Source organism: Homo sapiens, chromosome 2, assembly GCF_000001405.40.
Source record: "Homo sapiens chromosome 2, GRCh38.p14 Primary Assembly".
Classification (NCBI taxonomy): Eukaryota; Metazoa; Chordata; class Mammalia; order Primates; family Hominidae; genus Homo; species Homo sapiens.
The window spans coordinates 26,873,323-26,897,811 of record NC_000002.12 but is presented as its reverse complement, the minus strand read 5'-3'; the positions used below and the strand labels follow the sequence as shown (position 1 = coordinate 26,897,811).

Sequence of the window (24,489 nt, the reverse complement as noted above, 5' to 3'; positions counted from 1 at the left end):
CAGATTTATTTGGGCCAGATTGGGTCCACAGCATCAACAGTTTTCAAAAGCTGGAGAACTTTTTCAAACATTTAAAGAAGAATTAATACTGACCTCATCCAGAAAACAGAAGAGAAGGAAACCCTTCCCAATTCATTTTATGAAGCCGGTATTAGCCTTATACCAAAAACCAGACAAAGACACTACAGAAAGAAAACTACAGAGCAATATCTCTCGTGAATATAGATATAAAAAATTCTTGACAAAATATTTGCAAACAGAATTCAGCAACATTTAAAAAGAATTAGACACCACACAAATGGGGTTTATTCAAAAAATGCAAGGCTGGTTCAATATTTGAAAAACAATCAGTGTAATCCACCATCTTTATAAACTAAGGAAGAAAAATCATAAAATCGTATCAACTGATGCAGAAAAAGCATTTGACAAAATTCAACACCCATTCATGATAAAAACTCTCAGAAAAGTAGGGAGAGAGGGTAGCTTCCTCAACTTGATAAAGAACACCTACAAAAAAACCTACAGCTAACATCAGATTTAATGGTGAAAGGCTAAATACTTTCCTCTACAGCAGAGGCAAGGATGTCTACTTTTGCCAGTGCTAGGCAACGTAGGTTATTCTAGCCAGCACTATAAGGAAAGAAAATGAAATAAACAGCATATAGATTGAAAAGGAAAAAACAAAACTGTCCCTCGTTGCAGATGACATGATGATCTACATAAAAAATTCCAAGAAACCTACCAAAAAAAATCTCCTAGAACAAATAAGCAAGGCCACAAGTTACAAGATCAATATACAAAAGGCTACTTTTTTTCTGTACACTAGCAATGCACACCTGGTGTCACCAGAAAAAGTGAAATAGGCATAAATCCAAGAAAACATGTATAGGCACAGACAACAAAAGTAAAGATAGACAAATGGGATTGCGTCAAACTAAAAAGTTTCTACATAGCGAAGGAAACAATCAACAGAGTGAAGAGAAAACCTACAAAATGGGAGAAAATATTTGCAAACTATACATCTCACAAGAGGTTAATATCCAAAATAAATAAGGAATTGAAAGAGCCCAACAGCAAGAAAACAACTCAATTTAAAAATGTGCACAGAACCTGAATAGACATTTCTCAGAAGACATACAAATGGCCAATAGATTTATCAAAAAGTGCTCAACATCACTAATCATCAGAAAAGTACAAGTTAAAACCACAATGAGATTATCACCACACACCTGTTAGAATGACTATTATCAAAAAGATGAAAGATAAGTGTTGGCAAGGATGTGGAGAAAAGGGAACTCTTGTACACTGTTGGTGGGAATGTAAATTAGTATAGCCATTATGGAAAACAGTATACAGAATCCTTAAAAACTTAAAAATAGAACTACTATATGGTCCAGCAATCCCACTACTGGGTATATATCCAAGGGAAATGAAATCAGATGTCGAAGGGATATCTGCATTTCCTTGTTTGCTGCAGCATTATTCACAATAGCCAATATATGGAATCAACCTAAGTGCCCATCAATGGATGAATGGATGAAAAAGATGTATATACACACAATAGAATACTGCTCAGCCATAAAAAAGGGGGAGGTCCTGTCATGTGTAATAACTTGGATAAATCTGGAGAACATCAGGTTAAGTAAAATAAGCCAAGCACAGAAAGACAAATACCACATGCTCTCACTCCTACGTGGAACCTAAAAAAGTTGATCCATAGAAATAGAGAACAGAGGCTGGGTGCGGTGGCTCATGCTTGTAATCCCAGCACTTTGGGAGGCCGAGGTGGGTGAGTCATGAGGTCAGGAGTTCAAGACCAGCCTGCCCAAGATAGTGAAACCCCGTCTCTACTAAAAATACAAGAACTAGCCGGGCGTGGTGGTGGGTGCTTGTAATCCCAGCTACTCGGGAGGCTGAGGTAGAGAATTGCTTAAACCGGGGAGGCAGAGGTTGCAGTAAGCCGAGATCATGCCACTGCCCTTCAGCCTGGGCGACACAGCGAGACGCCATCTCAAAAAAAAAAAAAAAAAAAAAAAGAAAAAGAAATAGAGAACAGAATGGTGGTTATCAGTGGCTGGAGTAGTTGGGGTAAAGGGGAGTTGGGGAAATGTTGGTGAAAAGATACAAAATTTCAGTTAAATAAGTTTAAGAGCTCTATTGTACAACATGGTGACTATAGTTAATAATAACATTGTATTCTTGAAAAATGCTTTGAGTATGGCTATCAAGTGTTCTAACCTCTCATTATATGAGGTAATTCATCTATTAATTAACTGGATTTAGTCATTCCACAATGCGTATGTGCTTCAAAACATCATGTTGCACACAACAAATACATACAATTTTATCTGTCAATATAAAAAAAGAAAAAACACACATAGGACTTGTATGCTGAAAACTACAAAATGCCAATGAAAGAAATCAAAGACAATCTAAGTAAGTGGAGAGACATACCATGTTCATGGATTGGAAGACTCAACATGGTGTCAATTCTCCCCAAATTGACATACATGTTTAATGCAATTCCTATTAAAATCCCAGCACAAATCTTTTGCATATTATTGTCAAAATGTATGTGGACTGGCAAAGGAACTAGAACAGCTAAAGCAAACTCCACAAAGAAGAATAAAGTCAGAGGAATCAGTCTACTTGATTCCAAGACATATTACATAGCTATAGTAATCAAGACTGCATGATCTTGACAACTATGGTCAACTGATTTTTGACAAAGGTGCAAAAGCAATTCAATGAAGGGAGGACAGTCTTTTCAACAATTGGTGTTGGATATTCATAGGCCAAAAACCCAGCCTTAATTTAAACCTAAAATCTTATATAAAAATGAACTCAAAATGGATTATGCATCAAGTAACCACATATGACACCACTGACTACTCCCTCCTCTGTAGAGCTCCCTTCCCTTAGCATTAAATGGAGCCATGCAGTGAAGTGGGGGCAAGGACCACAGAAGATCTTGACCTCTGCTTTGGAAATCAGTGAGACTTTGATGAACTCTGACTGAAGGCAAGTTTGTGGAGACTGTGTATACAGTCGTCAAGATCTCTGTGAGTAAAGAAAGCCTAGAAACGGCCCAAGGAGCATGGCTGAGGGAAAGTATCAATTTTAGGACTAATATTTTTCAGGGAGTGAAGAAGGAGCCAAGGGAGAGATTAAAGGTCTAAGAGATCAAGGGACTATTTTTGATGTGAGCTCCCGAAGGAGGTAGCATAGAATAATGGCAACCATCATTAACAGAAGGCCTCAACAAACAAGGCCCTCACTTGTCAATTTACATGGCTTGCTTGATTAGATCCCTCCAACAATCCTGTGGGGAAGGTATTATTATGCCCACCTTGCCAAAGAGGAAAGAGATACAGAGAGGTTAAAGTCAAAGGCTTGTAGGAGGAGGTGATGTGCAGATGCAGAAGAGACAGGCATATAAGCGAGTTTGCATTCTCTCTGCTCTGCAAAGCTGGGGGCTGAGAGCTCGTGGGAGTGGTACAGAATGAGTGGATTTGAGAAGAGTGTGAAGATGTGGGGGAGCCACTGCAGGGACCTGAGAAGTGAAATGGGGTGCACATAGGAAATGGGGCCAGTGCTGAGGGCAACTCAGATAGCTGTGGTCATGGTGAGTTGCTTAAAATTTCCATCCAGGGGGCACACTTTGGTTAATATCCAAAATAAGTAAGGAATTATCTATAATAATAAGGATTTATATTTATAATATGAATTATAATTATATAATTATAAGTATATAAAATTGTTATATTTATATTTATAATATAAATTCTAATAAGGATTTATAATAATAATAAGGATATGCAACTCTCTTGACCCTTAGATATCTGAACAGAAAATATTTACATTCAGGCTTAGAAAATATAGGACAAACTCTGACCAGCAGGAAGGAGATTACGCCATTGCAGTGTGTCCTTGAGGTAAAATAAAGCCCACTTTTATACGCAGTAAATTTCTCGTTCTTCAGGGCCCAATTGTCCCCTCTTCTGAAAAGTTTTCTCTGACTCTCTTTGTGCCTTCACTAGATCCATTGCCTTCACGGCACTAGATTCTCTCTCCACCTATGGAGTAGGGTCCTCAAAGACAGTCCTATCAGTCATCTTTGTCTCCGCCCGCTCCCCATCCTCAGCATCCAGTACAGAATACTCAAAACTGGTGAATAAACGAATAAATAGCCCCATCTACTTGTTGCACTCTAACACAATCAAAATGGTTTAAAGCAATGAGTAGTAGACCAATTCCATGTTTGTTTTCAGGGATATTTTGCAACTCTATGTCCAGGATAAGGCTCAATTTTCCTAACACAGCTAATTACGGTGAATAGAACAAAGGGAGCAACATATTTTCTCTCATCCTCATCATTTAACTTTGTCTGTCACCAGGGAAGTTCTGGGAAGGCTGTGTCCCAGGATGAAAAGGCCTTGGGGATCTATTAAAGGAGTACCTCTTGTAAGGGCACATGTCAGATATTTGGAGATCATAGCCTGTTCTCCTGGAAACAGTTGGTTTATTTTTTGCCAAGTTGGCCAGGCTCAAGTGCATGGAATCTCAACAACAAACAAGAAAGCTTATATGGAGCCTCAACCACCAGGTTCTCCTGCTGTAAGGAAAGCATGGCCCTTGGGGGCTGCTGCCTGAGGGAGTGCTGGGAAACAAAGCAGGTGGCTGGGAGTGACAACTGTACTCCAGGAACATCTGCTCCCTGCAGGGTATCATTCTGACCTCTGGGGAGAAGAGGCCCTGCTCCCCTAGAGTGGAAGGCGACAGGGCAGAGAGGCCGTGGGGAGTTGGACTGGAGAGACTAGGGAAGAGGGGACAGCCACAGCCACAAGCCTATTGTCTGGAGCTGGGGTGAAGCTGAACACATGTCAAGGGATCTTTTGTCCTAAAACCTAAAAACTGGAGTTTTAATTTCATATGCAATAATAAGAAAATGGCTTTGGTTCTTAGGTGGTGGATAGAGCCACTCTGGCCACAGGAAGCCCAGAAGTCTGAGATGCATTCTCTCTCTCTCTCTCTCTCTCTCTCTCTCTCTCTCTCAAACAAACCCAATGCTCTATGCAAAGATATAATCCTCACCTTAAATTGTTTTTTGTTTTTGTTTGTTTTTTTGTTTTTGTTTTTTTTTTTTAGTTCTCTATGTCATTGCCCAGGCTGAACTTGAACTCCTGGGCTCAAGCAATCCTCCAGCTTCAGCCTCTTGAGTAACTGAGACTACAGGTGCATGCCACCATGTCTGGCTTAATCCTCACCTTTTAAAGCAGCTTTAAGGTAAGAGGAAAACTAGGAATACTTATGCTGGAAAAATTGCTGCATAATCGTTATGTCAATGTTATAAATGACAAGATGGGTTTGCTTACATGCTCGTAACACATGCTTGGAGGTTGGAGAACCTGAAAGAGCACTGTGATAATAGCTTACTGAGAATTCTTGTCTGAGCTTTGATGCTAGAATCGAAAGCCAAGGACATCATCTTCAATAGAAGTAAGAGCTCTCAGTAAATAAACACCCTGTGCCTGGCACTTTACATGCATTCACACAGCAACCTCCACAAAGTGGGAACAAGGCAGGAAGTGTTAGCCTCACTTTAAGGAATAAACAGAGGTTTTGAAAATAACAAGTAGCCCATTAAAGGTCATAAAAATCCAGGGGGAGGGATGGGCTTCAGATTTAGGTCTATCTGACTTAAGGGAATTAACTCTGGGTAGAAGGTTTCCAGGTGAGTTTTATGTCCTTCACAGGTTTCTGTATTTTTCAAATTTTACATAATAAATTGGAGGAGGAACATATAATCTGAAAATATATGTTCAAAAGCCTTTTTTTAGGCCAGGCTCAGTGGCTCATGCCTGTAATCCCAGCACTTTGGGAGGCTGAGGCCGGCGGATCACTTGAGGTCAGGAGTTCGAGACCAGCTTGGCCAACATGATAAAACTCCATCTCTACTAAAATTACAAAAATTAGCTGGGCGTGGTAGTGCATGCCTGTGGTCCCAGCTACTCAGGAAACTGAGGCAGAAGAATTACTTGAACCAAGGAGGCAAATGTTGCAGTGAGCCAAGATCATGCCACTATACTCCAGCCTGGGCAACAGAGCGAGACTCTGTCTAAAAAAAAAAAGTTATTTATTTATTTATTAACTAAAAAGAAGCCAGAAGGAATCCAACGTGACCCTTCATTCAGACCCAGCTGGCTCAGTTCCTCCCTCTGCCATCCTTTTTGAAAGGAGATGGGTGAGGGAGGAATAGATGGGGCTGACTACTCCCCTTCTCTAGAACCCTTGGGCTGCCACCACCTCGGCCTATTTTTTTCCACTTCCTAGTTGGAAGTCTCCGGAGGCTAACGAGGCTCTGAAGAGGCTTGGCTCCCTTGCAGAACACTGGGGAGCCCTGGAACCTCTCTGGCCCAGGAATCCCATTCACGCAGGCCTGGGCTGGTCCTGGAAATCCAGGATAGACTGCTCTCCTAGGACTACCATCTAGAAAACTCATTCTCAGAACTTAAAGGACTCTATTAATAATGCTAACTAATAATTACTAGACACTGACTATATACTGGGCCCTTCGCTATGCCCATTGTGTGCATCATCTGATTTAATCCTTACAATGCCTGGAGATAGGTACCATCATTGCCCCCATTTTTACCAAGAAGAACCTGAAGCTTAGAAAAGTTAAAAGAACGTCCTTAAGGTCCCACAACTAGTTTGTAACAGAGCAGAGATTGAAAGCCAGACAGTTCGTCTCTAGAGTTATTATGGACTAGATGTATGTGTCCCCTCTAATTCATATGCTGAAGCCTTAACCCCAGTGTGGCTGTATTTGGAGATGGGGCCTCTTAGAAAGTTTTAAGGGTTAAATGAGGTCATAGGGCAGGGCCGTGATCTGCTAGGATTAGTGTCCTGGTTAGGAGACACCAGAGAGCTCGCTTTCTCTCTCAGGCACAGGAACAGAAGAAAGGCCGTGTGAGGACACAGTGAGAAGGCAGCTATTGACCAGCCGGGAGGAGAGAGCTCACCACAACCCGACCCGCCTGCACCCTGATCTTGGACTTCCAGCCTCCAGAACTGTGAGAAAATAAATTCCTGTAGTTTAAGCCACCCAGTCTGTGGTATTTTGTTATGACAGCCTGAGCAGACTAATACAAGCATCTAGCCTTGAGCCATACAGAAGGAGGGGTGAGCTGGACCCCAGATCTAAAGCAGCTCAGTAGAGACACCGCAGTGTGAGTGATGGCCCAGCCTCCAGGCCCAATTGTGCTGAATTCCAGCTTTCCACGTGGGCTGCTGTCGGAGCAGCCTGCAGGGCTTCAGCCTCAGGGTTCCCAAGGTCTTGGGACCTCTAAGCCCGCACTGGCTTGTTTGGATAATATCGTAGCACAGTTGCCTAACATGCTCCCTACCCAGGGTGCTTTTGGAGAATATCTTTTTTAAATTTTTAAAATCTTAAAAGTTTAGGACATTTGTGTGCACTAAAGTGTTCTATAACTTCACTCCTTTCCACTGGAGACAACTCTGAAAAAACCACAGGCCCTGCTCTTAAGAAACTCAGTCTGCGGAGCAAGAGAGATGCAAATAATTGCTTTAATAGGTGACTGAAGTGTAAAGGGGACACTTCTTGCCTAAAGACCTAACAGTGAACTTGACAGATACTGGTCTAAACTGGGTATCTTTCCCCATGTTACAGAGACCAGAGCTGGAATGGGTAAGACTAGCTGCATGGTGATGGTAGGAAGCCTATTGCACCAGTATCCTTCCCAAACATTCCTACCCTTCCAAGTAGCCTAAGTCCCCAAGATGCTAACCCCGTCCAATCCCGCCTCGCTGTGGACTGTGGACACTCATCATGCTGCTCACCTTCCCCAGTAACCTCATTAGCACCTTATTCTTACAGCTTTCCCTGCTAGTCTTTGCTGAACTCAACAAAGGGAGGACGTTGCTGGTCTGTCTCTGCAGCACAGGCTGTCTGTGTGTGCACATGTGTATGAACATAGTGAAGGAGTCAGGCAGAGGGTGGGTGAGTGGGGTGGATACTCTGGACCTCTCAGGAAAGTCGCCCAGAAGGGAAGAGATTTGAGGGCAATTGTTGTGATACAGGCTTTTTTTTTTTTTCCCTACGCTATGCAGGTTCTTAAGCACCATAAAGGGACTCTCTTCCCTCTGCTCCAATTGAGGCAGTAAATCCAGGTAACATTCTTGTCAGAGGTTGTGGTCAGAAAGAAGTATAAGCTCTCCAGGCCGGGCGCGGTGGCTCACGCCTGTAATCCCAGCACTTTGGGAGGCTGAGGCAGGTGGATCATGAGGTCAGGAGATTGAGACCATCCTGGCTAACACGATGAAACTGTGTGTCTACTAAAAATACAAAAAAATTAGCCGGGCGTGGTGGCTGGCGCCTGTAGTCCCAGCTACTCGGGAGGCTGAGGCAGGAGAATGGCGTGAACCCGGGAGGCAGCGCTTGCAGTGAGCTGAGATCGCACCACTGCACTCCAGCCTGGGCAACAGAGCAAGACTCCGTCTCAAAAAAAAAAAAGAAGTATAAGCTCTCCAGAAGGCCAGCATTAGTTTTACCGATTGTTGATGCTTCAAGTCACCTAGTTTATTCCAAAACACAATAATTGTGTAGCAGACAGAGTCAATATCTGGCCCTCTGGCTCACTACATGCAATGAATGGAATGTTTGTGTCCCATTCATATGTCGAAGCCTAATCTCCTGTGTGACAGTATTTGGAGGTGGGGCCTTTGGGAGGCCTTTGTGAACCCTCATGAATGGGAATAGTGTCCTTAGAAGAAGAGACAGGAGAGAGATATCTCTCTCTCTGACATGTGAGGGCATAGCAAGAAGGCGTCCATCTGTAAGCCGGGAAGAGAGCCCTCAACAGCAACCCTCAGCTTCAACTTGATCTTGGACTTCCCAGCCTTCAGAACTGTGAGGAATAAATTTCTGTTGTTTAAACCACCCAGTCTACGGTAGTTTTGTTAAAGCAGCCTAAACTAAGACATCACACTAGACAGAAATGAGCAATGTAAGTAACAACTGGGCCTTAAAATAAATGTCACCTCCTTTAAAGACTTCTGGCTATATCCCATATGCCCATATGTTTCGCCAAAAACTTTGATCATCCAGTTATTTTATCTATGCAAACAACAGAATTCAAAAACATGTGTCTGTCATCTCAGGCAGAATGGGAAAAAATCCAGACAGTTAAATGCCATTAGAAAGAATAAATCGTGGCTGAGCACGGTGGCTCGCTCACACCTGTAATCCCAGCACTTTGGGAGGTCGAGGTGGGTGGATCACCTGAGGTCAGAAATTTGAGACCATCCTGGATAATATAGTGAAACCCCCGTCCCTACCAAAAATACAAAAATTAGCTGGGCATGGTGCCACGCACCTGTAATCCCAGCTACTCGGGAGGCTGAGGAAGGAGAATCACTTGAACCTGGGAGGCAGAGATTGCAGTGGGCCCAGATTGCACTACTACTGCACTCCAGCCTGGGAGACAGAGATGAAAGAAAGAAAGAAAGACAGAAAGAAAGACAGAAAGAAAGAAAGAAAGAAAGAAAGAAAGAAAGAAAGAAAGAAAGAAAGAAAGAAAAGAAAGGGAAGGAAGGAAGGAAAAAGAAAGAAAGAGAAAGAAAGAATCAGAAGTATGGAATTCTAGAGCTGCATAGACTATTAAGTTTACTTCCAATTTTCACTCCAATCCCTGGACTTTGTCAACAGTGACCTTGAACTGAAGGGAACCAGCCCAGGACTAAAGGGAAGGTGTCACACTGCAAGCACAGGGATCTTATGATGTTTACAGTTTATTCAGGGAAGTAATGATGCCTTCCACAGCAAGATGGTGGCTATCTTTGGATATCCCGAATCCTAGATTTATCCAGTTATACACAGCTTGTCTCCTCCAAGAGGATTCTGATCCTGTGGCATTATGTTCCTGAACCATTCATGGGTTCGCGTTAAGGTGATGTGCAAGCTGGGATAGAGAACTTGGGGTGGAAGTGGGATGGTGGGGAGGGGACAATACTGTAACTAGGGAGTGCAGTCTTTCATGAGAAAGCCTCTCCATGTTTAAAATAGTAACAATTATTGCTATCCAACCACTGTCTTGTGGGAAAACAGAAAAATCCTTCCTTCCATGCCCCCCATTTTTACTTTTGTGGAGTAGTTCCAATGCAGAACTGCATAGGAAGCATCTTGCTGAGTGGACAAAGTTATGGCAGCTGCTGCTTCTTGATCATGAAATGCACACACCATACACTCCTATAAGGTACACAGTTTTAGTCCTGCCAAAGAAATGCCAAGCCCAACACTGTGTTTTGGAATTGCCTGCTTCTGTCATCGCCTTCCCCAGCTCCCCTGGGCCTGCGGGGAGGTGTGAGACAAGGAGAGCCTGCACAGTCTGGCCTGCACGGCTGCCCCTGCCAACAACTCAGCTGGAGGATGCTGGGGGCCTCTGGAGCTTGGCACAGGAACTTGGGGCCAGGATGGTGCAAGGGGGACCCTTCCTGCATAAAGACCTTAAAGGGAACTTGGAAGGTATTGGTTTCAGACATGCATTTCCTCTTTTTAGAAAGCATTAGTTTAAGACTCACATTTCCTCTTTTGATAGAATCCACAGAAAAACGTATGATTTTACAGATAACTGGTCACTGTGATATCAAAAACACACAAGACTGTTATATCAAAAACACTGTCATGTGACATGAAGGATCTGTGGCATCTAAGCCAAGCCTAATGGCAACCTGGGTAGCACCTCAAGGGGCAGGTGAGGTCAGCTCAGGTCACAGAGGATACAGGCGGGCTGGCATGATTTTCCCTTGCTCCAAGCAGGTAACATTTGCTAAAGGATCAAAAGGCAATACACGACAGTTGTGTGGAAAGGAAAATGGAAACCTATGGCTATTTTTCTTCTGATCAGCACAAAGGAGAGAGAAAGAGTAGGCTGGCATTTTGCAGCCTTCTCAATGGGAGAGCCATTCTTAAAATGGAGTTGTGGAGGATGCTGGCACATAAGGCACCCTGGGGTCACTCAGGGAAGGGATTCTCTTTGAGTTGAAACATGCCAAATCAAAGGTTCAACAGAACACAAAAACCAAAGGGGAGTTTGAGATGAGTGGGAAATGCTGAGGGTTTAAGTTAATAAATTTAAGTTTAAAAAACTAAATGGCTAAGTAGTAAACAGTAAAAACTTAACTAATATTAAAGCACAGAATAATTTTATGATTAATTCATAATTGATTTATCAACTATTGAGTAGATTTAAAATAATATTTATTAGTTTGCAAAATTGTATAATTAGTAGTTACTTCAGAGGCGATATTTTGTTCCTTTTCAGGTAAGTAGCTGCAGCTTAATATCATTAAGTGCATTTTTTATAATTTATTTAGACAGAAATAAAATATTTATGACCTACATGTAAGGCAGGTCATAATGACACAGAGACCTGTGAACTCAGCATGTCATTACTGTTTAAGTCTCCACACCTCATTCATCTGACCATGTCCTACTTCTCAAAGGTATCTAGTTTATATGAATTAATGACTAATAGCAATTAGGTGACAAGCAAAAAAGAAAAGGTCACAGCTGTTTCCACTCCGTGACTACTTCTCCCGACATCCAATCAAACTTTACCTGCTCAGTGACTGAGCTTTTCACAACCCCCAGTTCTCTACTTTCTGAAGCAAACAGGAAACTGAAAGTCTAGCTAATGAGGGAGCGGGAGCATTTTAATACCATCCGAATGCCCACTGGACCATTCTACTGGGTTCCACAGGCAGCACACACTCAACCTGTCCAAAACCAACTCCCCTGTCCCCAGTCACCCCATCCAGAAACCTCAGACTCTTCCCAGATTCCTATCCAACCCAGGCCAGGGTCGACATCCAGGAAGACTGCTCTGAGAGGTGGTCCTGATTTGGATTACCTGGGAGTTTTGTGCAAAATGTTTTGAGGGATTCTGGAAGTAGAACCCAACCCTGGGGCAAGGAACTGAGGAGAGCAGAAGGGCAGGTCCCCTTTCTTCCATCTGGGCCTCAGCCATCTCCAAAGGCTAGTGGAGAACCTGAATGGCCTGGGACTGGCACAGGAAGGACTGATCAGGCAGAGCAGTCAGAGGCTAGAGAGAGTCTCTGTCTAATGTTACATCCACCATGAGACACCCTGGGTCCTTGTCCACAGCCACAAACATATTTCCATACCAAATTGGCTAGTGAGGAGGTCTCTGAATGTCCCACCAGGCCCTTTTTCCATTAACCCAGGGGCGGGGCAGGATCAAGCCTATAGATGGCAGGTGCCATTTTGGGGGAGGGCTGGACTGGGGCGTTTGTACCTGGGGACCATCTGCACCAGATCATGAAGCATCCACATCTGGAAAACTGCTACCACCTTTGTCACTGCACTGGAGAGAAGGTAGAATCGGAACAAGTAGGTCAGGGAGTGGGCAAGACTATAGGTAAGAGCCCAGCACCAGAACATCCTCTTCCGAGTGCAGGAGTGGGTACGGGGAGGGAAATACCATCTGCATTGGCCAGCGTCATGGGTGTGAATATGGTTAACAAGGGCTTGCTCCTGAGACAGGTTTTTTTTTATTTTGTTTTGTTTTTTGAGACAGAGTCTTGCTCTGTCACCCAGGCTGGAGTGCAATGGCACGATCCGAGCTCACTGCAACCTCCACCTCCCAGGTTCAAGCAATTCCCCTGCCTCAGCCTCCCGAGTAGCTGGGATTACAGGTACCTGCCACCACGCCCAGCTGATTTTGTATTTTTAATAGAGATGGGGTTTCACCATGTGGGTCAGGCTGGTCTCTTAACTCCTGACTTCAGGTGATCCGCCTGCCTCAGCCTCCCAAAGTGCTGGGATTACAGGCATGAGCCACCATGCCCGGCCTCCTGAGACGGTTTTTAAAAGAAACTGACACAAGTACAGATCAAGCTTGGGCCCCAAGCAAGCAGGAGTTGAATGAAACAAATAGCTTCTGGGAAGGTGTATATAAATCCACAGGGATGATTTCTTAACAGGCTAAGATCAAGTAAGAGGTTTTAATCCCATGAGTTCATCTGAGTTGGCCCGGCCCCACGTGGCTGGACTTAATGAACAAGGACCATCAGTGTGCAGAGGGCAAAAGCTACATTGCAAAGGATTAGCTGTGAGAGGGTGGTAAGAAATGGGAGCTGCTGACCACTTGTTCAGTGAGATTAGTTCAAAGGCACAGAAGAGCTAAGGGGCAGTTGTCAGAAGCCAGAGCTGAGTGTGTGTGTGTGTGTGTGTGTGTGTGTGTGTGTGAGATAGGACAAGCTTAGCTGTGCGTTGATGTGTGTTCACGTGCACCTCCCAGCCCAAGTGTGCACAGCACCAGTCTTGGGCGTTCAAGCTGAAGCCTGGCTCCTTGTAAGTGTTGGCTGACTCCCTGAGGCCAGGAGGCTTCATTACTTGAGGCCTGGGCAGGCTGAGGACCCTCAAAAGTAAGTGTGAGTAAATCCCACTTCCATAAGCCCAGCTCCCGCAGGTCCTGGAAGAAGGACAGACAGGTGTACACATGGGAGACAAGGACTCCTGACTCCCGATTGGGGCTTTAGCTGGGGAAGGACAAGCGTCTGTGACCAGAGGAGGCACCACACCACCACCAGCACCTCGCCCACCCGGCACCGACTCCTGGCAGATAACTCAGCCCTGCTGTGCTTCCCGTGCTCTTGCCAGCTGTCTCCAGGCCCCAGAAATAATTCCATCATCTCCCCTGGAAGGATGGCAGCTGCAGCTCAAGGGTCTCCAGCAGCTCCTGGAGTGGCTGCTTCCTAGAACAAGGGCCAAATGCTGGAAGAGGGCTCACACCCACTGCCAGGAAACGGGGCGGGGGCTCTTCTCAGCTGGAGACCTCAGGTGTGGGCTGGGGAAAACAGGAGGAAAGGATGTATTTTCTTAACCATGAAAGGACCACAAACCCGGGCTACCTGATGAAACCTAGATTCAGGGTAGAAATTGAATGAGAATATAAAACTACTTTCTTCTCTTTTAAGCTGAAAATTAGTATGAACTGACTACAGCCATATACAGCATCTTGCAAACAATAGTTGAGGGGAAGGAGCAGACATAACAGAGTAAATATGAGGCTGGGTGCAGTGGCTCATGCCTGTAATCTCAGCACTTTGGGAGGCTGAAGTGGGTGGATCACTTGAGGTCAGGGGTTCAAGACCAGCCTGGCCAACATGGTGAAACCCCATCTCTACTAAAAATACAAAAATTAGCCAGGCATGATGGTGCGTGCCTGTAATCCCAGCTATTTGGAAGGCTGAGGTGGGAGAATTGCTTGAACCCGGGGATCGGAGGTTGCAGTGAGCCAAGATCGCACCACTGTGCTCCAGCCTGAGTGACAGAGTGAGACTCTGCCTCAAAAACAAACAAAAACAAACAAACAAACAATAAGAGCAAATACGGTATGATTCCATTCACATAACCATCAAAAACAGGCAAATGGGAATTATAGTACGTAGGCATCTAGTGCTAAAACCATGGCAAAACAAAAACAAGGAAATGATAATCAGAAAACTCAAGATAGGGGTTATTGCTCTGGCAGTGGTTATCTATCTGGCAGGGAGGGAGGGGCCCATGGTAGGGGGAGCTTCTTACATGGTGGGAATTATGAAGGCATTTGCTATTAATTATTCTTTAAACTGCACATATATTTTCTGCATGTTTCTGTATATATCTCATCAAACATTTAAAACTTTAAAAAAACATACAAATACATGTCAAATATGCTTACAATCAAAATATGGACTCAAAGCAGATCAGAAGAGAATAAACAATAGTTTCTGTTGTGGGATAACAAGGGATTTCTGCCCCCCTAATTTTCCAGACTTTCTATATGTTACATTGCTTTTTTTTTTTTTTTTTTTTTAAGATAGTCTCGCTCTGTCACCCAGGCTGGAGTGCAGTGGCACGATCGGCTCACTGCAACCTCTGCCTCCTGGGTTCAAGTGATTCTCCCACCTCAGCCTCCTGAGTAGCTGGAATTATAGGTGCACCCCACCACCTCTGGCTAATTTACAAAATAATTTTTGTATTTTTAGTAGAGATGGGGTTTCACCATGTTGCCCAGGCTAGTCTTGAACTCCTGACCTCAAGTGATCCACCCACCTTGGCCTCCCAAAGTGCTGGGATTATAGGCATGAGCCACCACTCTCTGCCAACATTGCTCTTATAATTAAAAATAAATATTGTGCTGGGCGTGGTGCTTATGCCTGTAATCTCAGCACTTTGGGAGGCTGAGGCAGGAGTATTGCTTGAGCAATTGCCTAGGAGTTTGAGAACAGCCTGGGCAACATAGTGACACCCTGTCTACACACACATACACACACACACACACACACACACACAGACACACACACACACAATAAGCTGGGCATGGTGGTGTGCGCCTGTAGTCCCAGCTAGTCAGAAGGCTAAGGCAGGAGGATTGCTTGAGCCAAGGAGGTCGGGACTGCAGTGAGCTGTGATCATGCCACTGAACTCCAGCCTGGGTGACAGAGTGAGACCTTGTCTCAATGAATAAATAAATAAGTAAATATTGTACTTTAAAATCATGCAAGTACTTTTATATTGTTTGAAAAAAAATTGAAATAAGGTGGAAAACTTTCCCTCTTATTTTCAGGAAGTCCTGCCCTTGTCTGGGACAAACCAATTTCCTTTCTTTCTTTTTTTTTTTTTTTTTTTTTTGAGATGGAGTCTCGCTCTATCACCCAGGCTGGAGTGCAGTGGTGTGATCTCGGCTCACTGCAAGCTCTGCCTCCCGCGTTCACGCCATTCTCCTGCCTCAGCCTCCCGAGTAGCTGAGACTGCAGGTGCCCACCACCATGCCCAGGTAATTTTTTGTATTTTTAGTAGAGATGGGGTTTCACCGTGTTAGCCAGGATGGTCTTGATCTCCTGACCTCGTGATCCACCTGCCTCGGCCTCCCAAAGTGCTGGGATTACAGGTGTGAGCCACCGTGCCTGGCTTCCTTTATTTCAACTCTTGAAATTAAACAAGATTTCAAAAGGGTACAAGGCATTCCCTTTATTTCTGAGTCGTAAGACCCCTTCAAAGAGGCACCAGATACTTGTACTTAAAATGTGTTCCCAGGCTCTCTCTCCCAAAAGAAGTTGCTTTACCTGCCTCTGACTTTAAGCCAATAATGCTTCTGCCCAATCAAAAGCAGCCTTCCTCCTGTGCCTGCTCCTGCCGGCTGTCTTTCTTACGGACCTGACACCTCCATCACTGAGACAGACATTTTTACACCAGTCCAGAATTCCTAAGCCTGAGAAGCAAATCTCATCAGTGCCCATGGAAATTCATGACTAATGGAACCCAGCTTTGAGGAGATGAGCAGCAAGGTGGGTGAGCCACTGTGACCTTGATCCTGAGACTCCCGGGGGCAGGCAGGAAGCACTGTGCCACAGGGGTGGCAGGCCAGTGGGCACTCTCAGGAGGCTTACAGAAACGTCTGGGGGTGAAAATGACCAACTTCCCTTCTTCTGGGGCAGTGATACCACTAGGCTGATCGCATCTGGATTTCAGGGCCCTGTTTTAGAGGGAAATGAATGGGAGTGAGTGAGGATGAGACGGGCACAGAGGGGAGGTGAGGAGGAAATGGGGTGGGCCGCAGGGTGAGCACAGGTGAGGGCAGTGACCTTGGCTGTGCCATGCGACTATGGGCACGTCCTCCCAGGCCCGTTTTCCCAGCTGTCAAGTAGGTGTCAACACCATCAGCACCACATCATCTCAAGAGCTCACACACGATTTCCTAGCAATCTTACAGCAGCCCTGTGAGGAAATGAAACATTATTATCCCCACGTTATGGCTGAGAAAACTGTGGGTTGGAATTCATGCCCAACAGACTGAAGCTTTTTGAAAGCCAAGCCTATGCCTTATTTTGTCCTCTGAGGGTTTGGCACATAGAGGGGACTCATTCAATGTTGGCTGAAAGAAGGCTTGGGTTGGGGAAGTTGTAAGAACCACGGAGATGGCGGTGAGAAAGCAGCTTGCATTTACAGCGTCAGCCACAGGAACGGACTCTGAGCTGTGAGTGATGGGAAAGAAGTCTTCTCAAAAGAGAGTTCTGTGCTGGTTGTGGGTGTTTGGTCAAGGGCTGGGGGAGAGGAGCAAAGCAGGTGTTCTCTGGCATGGAGAAAAGAGGGGAGGCGGAGGTAGGCAAGGGTGGGCTGAGAATGGCAGACAGACTGGCTACCTTGGGGCTGAGAGAGGAAGCTGGGATGAGGATGCAGCTTGGAGAGACAGAACATAAATCAGGGGTGCAGAGCAAGAGGTCGAGGCTCTGAATGAGACACATGGCTCCCAGGGTGCCCTGGCACAGCGGGAGCAGGATCCAAGTGTGGTCATAGGATGCAACTGTGAGTTGGGGACTGGCCTTTCTGCTTCCTTACCCTGGCCTGGGTTGACTGGAGACAGGGAGGGCAGTGATTATGCCAAGCCAGGCATGGGGGTGCAGTGGGTTAACTGGGTGGTGCCCACAGAACAGAAAAGGAAGGAGCAGAGCTGAGAAAGGGCTGAATGCTGGGAGGTTCCCTGGAGGGAAAGGAAAACAGAGTGGGAATGACACTAGCAGTGGCAGCATGGGCCTGGCACAGTGATGGCTCTGCCTGTAATCCCAGCACTTGGGGAGGCTGAGGCAGGAGGATCACTTGAGACCAGAAGTTTGAGACCAGCCTGGGCAGCGTAGTGAGACTCTGTCTCTACAAAAAATCAAAAGTTAGCTGGGTGTGGTGGTGCGTGCCTGTAGACCCAGCTGCTCAGGAGGCTGAGGCAGGAGGATCACTTGAGCCTGGGAGGTCGAGGCTGCAGTGAGCCATGATCATGCCACTGCACTCCAGCCTGGGCAACAGAGTGAGACCCTGTCTCAACAACAACAACAACAACAAACGAGTGGCAGCATAGGTGAGCAGAGCAGAAAGCAGGTGTGGACAGGTGTCTAGGCAGGGACTAGCTGTCCAGGGCACATCTGTGGTTTGTGGAAACACAATAATAAGAGCTGATTTCACCATCTCTCTCTAGGAATCCTTTAGATCAGTTGGAAGATGGCAACTGACCCCACCACCCAAGGTAATGAGGTGGAGGAGAGCAGAGAACCAGCACTCACTGACTGCATGTGTCCGGGGCTGGGAGAGCTCGTCACACACGGAAATCACTGCACAGCTGGCCTTGGAGGTCCATATGCTAACTTCACTTGATAGATAATGACGTGGAGGTGATAACTAGGCCAAGTCACAAGAGAAGAGAAGCAGACGTAATTCCAAACAATCAAAAGGTCTGGACCATGCTAATGGGCTTTTTTTTTTTTTTTTTTTTTCAAATAGAGATAGGGTTTTGCTATGCTGTCCAGGCTGGTCTCAAACTCCTGGCCTCAAGTGATCTGCCCACCTCAGGCTCCCAAAGTGCTGGGATTACAGTCATGAGCCACCATGCACTGGGCTAATGTTTTTATTTTCTCATGTATTGAATGTCCAGGAAACTTCTCAAACAAAACACTGTTGGTTCTACCTACTAAATCAATTTCTCCTCTGTCCTCTTTCTCCAAACCCATTGCTGAAGTCAGGCCCTTATCATTTACTGGACTATGACCTCACCATTACATGGATACTTCTGGTTGGTCCCCGGCCTCCACACTATTAGCAGATTGAGCTTGCTAAAATGCAAATCAGATCATGGAGGCAGGGTTACTGTACTGGGTGCCAGATACTCAACCAACTCTCATGGAGCTCACAAGTTGGTAGTGGAAGGATATGCATCAACCAACATTTCAATAGGAGACAAGGAGCTGGAAGGGCTGCCGGTACCAGAAAGGGTGGGGAAGCACTTCACACTGACTGGGCTGGAGGACTGCTTCTCACAAGTGCCTTGGAGGTGAGTCTGGATGGTTGCTTAGGAGTTCACCAGGGGTCAAGGAAGAAGTCAGGCAAGGATGTTCCAGACAGAAGCTGTGTGGCGCAAGCTAGCTTGGTGCACTCAGGATGGCTGGTGCATTGGATGCATGAGGGTGGAAAGTGGACAGCGGCTGAATCCTTCAAGGCCTGGTGGGACATGGCGTGCCAAGAGTATGGACAAGATGCTGAGTGCAGTGGCAGGGCTGGCTAGCATGGCAAGCAAAGAAGTAGCATCAGTACATTTGCATTCTACATTAGAAAAGGAGAGAAAAGTATAAAATGCTAGAAAAAAACATAGAAGGATATGTTTATAACCTTTGATTGAGTTAGGCTTTTCTTTTTATCATAATCCAAAGCCGGAAACCATAAAAAATCAGAGTAATTTAGACTATACAATAGTGAAAAATTATGATACAGCAAAAGATACCACAAATTACTTTTAATAAAGACAAATAAAAACTGGTATGACAGGTGTGTATCATATAACCAAGGATTAATATTTATATGTAATAGCGCTTCTAAATCCTAAAAGACAAAAAAATACTACAATAAAAAAATAGGCAAAGGATAAGAATAGGTAACCCACAAGGGGAGGAGGGACATAAATAGCTAATAGGCAAATGAAAAGATGTTCACCTTTATTAATAATTAAATAAATGCAAATGAAAACAATGAGATTACATTTTTCACTATTCATAATAGCACACAGAACAATGTCCAAAGCAAATGTAAAAAGCACGCATTCTTATATGTTGTTAACAGGGTTCAAATTAGTATGTTCTCACCAGAAGGAAATCTGAACATCTGCATGAAAACTTAAAATGTGCATTTCATGTCTAAGAATTCCTCCTAAGGAAATAATTGAACAGTTGTACAAAGATGTAGTACGAGGGTGTTTGGTAACACTGTTGTTTATAATAACAAATATTTTGAGATCCAGCTTAAAGTCTGACAATAGGAGGACTGTTTAAATAAATAATGGTATATTCACACAATAGAGGGCTGTGCAGCCATTGAAAAGGATTCTGTAGATCTCTAAGTATTGACATGGGAGGTTATGAGTGAAGAAAGTAGTTTACAGGACAAAACCAGAACCCAAGGTATGTTTATCTATATGTGTATTTATATGAGTGAGATTTCATATATATATGAAACTATTAACTGCAGTTTTCCCACAGGAGAATTACAGTGGAACTCAATCTCTTGGTACTATATAATTTTAAAAATATTGTTATACAAATACAGATGAGTTAAAAGATATTGTGTGACAGTGTCTTATTTAGGGGGAAAGGGGAGTATCTGCATGACAGTGCCAAAATGTAAAACATGAGGCGCTAGCAGGAGATGATTAAACACTAGCTGCTCCAAGGGTTGACATGATCTTCCCAGCATGTACTCAGCAGGTGTGGGGTGGAGCACATGTAGTAGGCACAGAAAACAGGAATGCAGACAATGTGCGTCCCCTGCATCCATGAGTTACATGTATTCTCTTAGTGTCCACATTGTTTTGATGTTATTCATGGAATACCTTCTGTTCTAAATACAGTCACTTAATTCCTTGGCCTTAAAAAAATAAATAAATAAATAGAAATAAAAATATTGTTATAATAAAGTGGCTATGGGCCAGGCGCGGTGGCTCATGCCTGTAATCCCAGCACTTTGGGAGGCGGAGGCCGGCAGATCACCTGAGGTCAGGAGTTCCAGCCAGCCTGGCCAACATGGTGAAACCCCGTTTCTACTAAAAATACAAAAATTAGCCGGGCTTGGTGGCAGGCGCCTATAATCCCAGCTACTCGGGAGGCTGAGGCAAGAGAATCGCTTGAACCTGGGAGGCGGAGGTTGCAGGGAGCCAAGATCACGCCATTGCACTCCAGCCAGGGGACAAGAGCGAGACTTCGTTCTCAAAAAAAAAAAAAAAAAAAAAAGTGGCTGTGGAATCAGTAACAGCACTGGTGAATGGGGTAGTTACACCGGACTACACTCTGAGGATGTTTGTGCCAGGTCAGGCAAAGCCACTAGCAAGCTAACATCTCTTGTATATTTCTTTAACAACCATTAATCTGGACATCATGGCCGGGCGCGGTGGCTCACGCCTGTAATACCAGCGCTTTGGGAGGCCGAGGTGGGCGGATCACCTGAGGTCAGGAGTTCGAGACCAGCCTGGCCAATAGGGTGAAACCCTGTCTCCACTAAAAATACAAAAGTTAGCCAGGCGTGGTGGCAGGCACCTGTACTCCCAGGTACTCGGGAGGCGGAGGCAGGAGAATCTCTTGAACCTGGGAGATGGAGGCTGCAGTGAGCCAAGATCATACCATTGCGCTCCAGCCTGGGTGACGAGCAAAACTCTGTCTCAAAAAACAAAAACAAAAACAAACCCCAAAACCATTAATCTGGACATCTACAGCCAATTGGATCTCTCTACTTTGATATCTTGCTGGCCCTTCTAACCCATCCCATCTAAAACCAAGCTTATCATGCTCTATCTCCACCAGGTTCGTCCTCCAGTGGCCCCCATCTCAGTGAGAGGCACCCCCACTCCACCGTGCACTGGGACGCACCCAGTGAGGGCATCATCTTCACTGAAGAGTGCAAGTGATGGGGCTACCTCCAGGAGGGGTAGTCAATGGCCCCCTTCCTCCATTCTGTTCACCAGGGCCCTGGACAAGGCAGCATCTTCTCAAATGGCTACAAAATGGGAGCAGAACACCCTCTGTAACCTGGCCTACTTGGCTGCTACCTTCCTTTGATGAATGAATGGAAACATGAAGCAAATGATTATTTGGGGTTCAAAAGGCTTTTCCTGATGGTTGAGTCTGAAAAAGTGCAGATAAATTCATTCACCTAAAGAAAAAGAGGAAATGGGCCTTTCCTCTGAGATTGATGCTTGACTGTGGAGCACCTGCTGCATACCTACCGATAAAAGAGATGAATACGTCTACATCTCTTGAAAGCAAGTAAATGGGAGTAATAGAATTTGGGTTGCCTGCCCGTCTAATTCATCTGGAATGCCAGCATTTCCTCTTTTTCATGTTTACCTGCTCTTGCTAGGAGAGGTGGAATTGGAACTGATGACAGACACCCAAATTATTTTTATAAGGACATACAATTTATCCCCCATCTATTCCCTGAAAGGCTGGCCAGATCTCCTTGGTTCCTAGTCCCTGGTAGCCTCTTTCCCACCCCCAGCCACCACCAGCCCAGGCCAAGAACCAAACCCAGAAGGCAGGTGTAGAGTCCAACATACTGAGCCTCCAGGTTGGGATGCCTGACAGTGGACAAGCCCTGACTCTAAGCTCCAACTCCTCTGTTGCTGAGGGCAGGCCCAGGACTCCACGCCAGATACTGACTCCCTGAGCCCAAGCCTGTGTGCAAAGGGCCTCATATCTCTTTCCCAGTAGGCTGACACACCCTTCTTTGTGGTTGCCCATCACCTTCCTCAGGGAGTCAAGGCCTGCCCACCTGTGGTCCCCCACCTGTTGGCACACTCTTCTGACACCAGCTGCTTGCTTCCCCACACTACCTGTGCCTGCACTCCCACCACTGTGCTCTCCTGCCTGTTTTCACCCCACATGCCCACTTGGGTTACCCAATGGCTGCTGTCTCTGCCGTCATGGGTATTTCGCCCACTGGAATGCAGGTTCTCCAGTGTCTGTGATGAGCTGTCCCTTCACCACCCTCCACCCACTCCAGTCCTAGTTCCTTCCCAATCTGCCTTATTCTGTTGCAGTTAATCAAGTGATCCGTTGCTTTTCTGAGAACTGGAGGAATGAAGCAGCTTATAATATTAAAACATATTTATCTCATTTATAAAGGGATTAGAAAACAGGATGAATTTAACAAAATAGGTGCAAAACTTGTACAATGAAAACTCTACAACATTGTTGAAAGAAATTAGAGAACTAAATAAATGTAATATATCATGTTTCTAGATTGCAAGAACAGATATTGTTAAGATGTCCATTCTTTCCAATCTGATCTACAGATTCAACACACCCTCAATCAAAATCCTAATAGGCCTTTTTGTGGATATTGATAAGCTCATATTAAATTTATATAAAATATGTACGACCTAGAACAGGCAAACCAATTTTGGAAAAGAACAAAGGTGGAATCAATCAAACCCAGAGATCAGCAGCCACACCTCTCACCACCTCCCAGAACGCAGGTCTCCCTGCAAAGGCTGGGCCTCCTGGGACACCTGGAAAATGCCACATGAAGTCAGACACCTCCTGCTTTTTTAAAACCTTATTTCAAGACATACTGTAAAGCTACAGTTATCAAGACAGTGTGGTATTGCTGTAAGATAGATGAATATGTGGATGATACAGAATAGAGATTCTAGAAATAGACCTACATATATATATGATCATTTGATTTTTGACAAACGTACCAAGGTAATTCAATGCGGGAAAGAGTAGTCTTTCAACAAATGATGCTAGAACAAATGGATATCCATTTGGGGAAAAAAGTGGACTTAAATGGATCATAGACCTAATCATAGATGCTAACCTATGAACTCCTAGGAAAAAATATAGGAGAAAGTCTTTAGGATCTTGGGTTAGGACATAAAAAGCATGAACCCTAAAAGATAAAATTGTTAAATGAAACTTTTATCGAAATTTAAAACTTGTGTTCTTCATAAGATCCTGTTAAGAAAATGAAAAAGCAAGCCATAGACTGGGATAAAACATTTGCAACACATAGATCTGATAAAGGACTTATATCCAGAATATAAAGATAATTCTTACAACTCAATAATACAATGCAATTAAAAAAATGAGCAAAAGATTTGAAGAGACACTTGAAGAGACACTATTTGTATCTACAAAAAAGATACAAGTAGTAAATAAGCACATAAAAAAAATGCTCAACATAATTGGTTATCAGGGAAATGCAAATTAAAACCACAATGAAATACCACTCTATGCCCAGTAGAATGGTGTATAATGGTTAATTTTATGTGTCAATTTGTCTGGGCTAAGGGATGCCCAGATAGCTGTTAAGACACATTTTTTCTGAGTGTGTCTGTGAGGGTGTTTCTGGAAGAGATTAGCAGTTGAGTCAGTAGACCGAGTAAAGAAGATCCACCCCTCACCAGTGTGGGTGGACATCGTCTAATCCATTTATAGATGTAACAGAATATTTGTCAGGAGATATTCTTTTTCTTTTGATTTGTTCAACCATTTAAACATGTGAAAACCATGTGTAGCTTATGCACCATACAGAAACAGGTGACAAGCCTGGATTTCGCCTGCAGACCATCATTTGCATACCCCAACTGTATCTATAGCAGGGTTCCTCAATCTTGGCACTATTGAAGTTTTTGGCCAGTTAATATTTTGTCCTGGGAGCTATCCAGTGCACTGTAGATGTTTAACAGCATTCCTGGCCTCTCCCCACTACATACCAGTAGTACCTGCCCAGTTGTGACAACCAAAAATGTCTCCAGACATTGCTATATGTCGCCTGAGAGGCACTGATCTATAGGGACAGTAGATCACTGATTGCCAGGGGGGTGAGGGGGAGCACGAGCGGAGGTGGTGGTGGAGAGGAAGGGGGATTGA

The 24,489-nt window shown here is 44.6% G+C and overlaps 1 protein-coding gene across 4 annotated transcripts in view, besides 1 other annotated feature; it reads right to left on the bottom strand.

Moving 5' to 3' along the window:
* The window catches only part of DPYSL5 (dihydropyrimidinase like 5), a 102,357-nt gene that overhangs the window by 52,540 nt on the left and 25,328 nt on the right, over window positions 1–24,489 (bottom strand). The window lies entirely within an intron of this gene.
* Window positions 11,712–11,761: an enhancer, noted in NCBI's record as "active region_15480". NCBI's record gives its function as "activates an Ori minimal core promoter by ATAC-STARR-seq in GM12878 lymphoblastoid cells {active_cell/tissue: GM12878}" and the evidence as "EXISTENCE:reporter gene assay evidence [ECO:0000049][PMID:35858748]".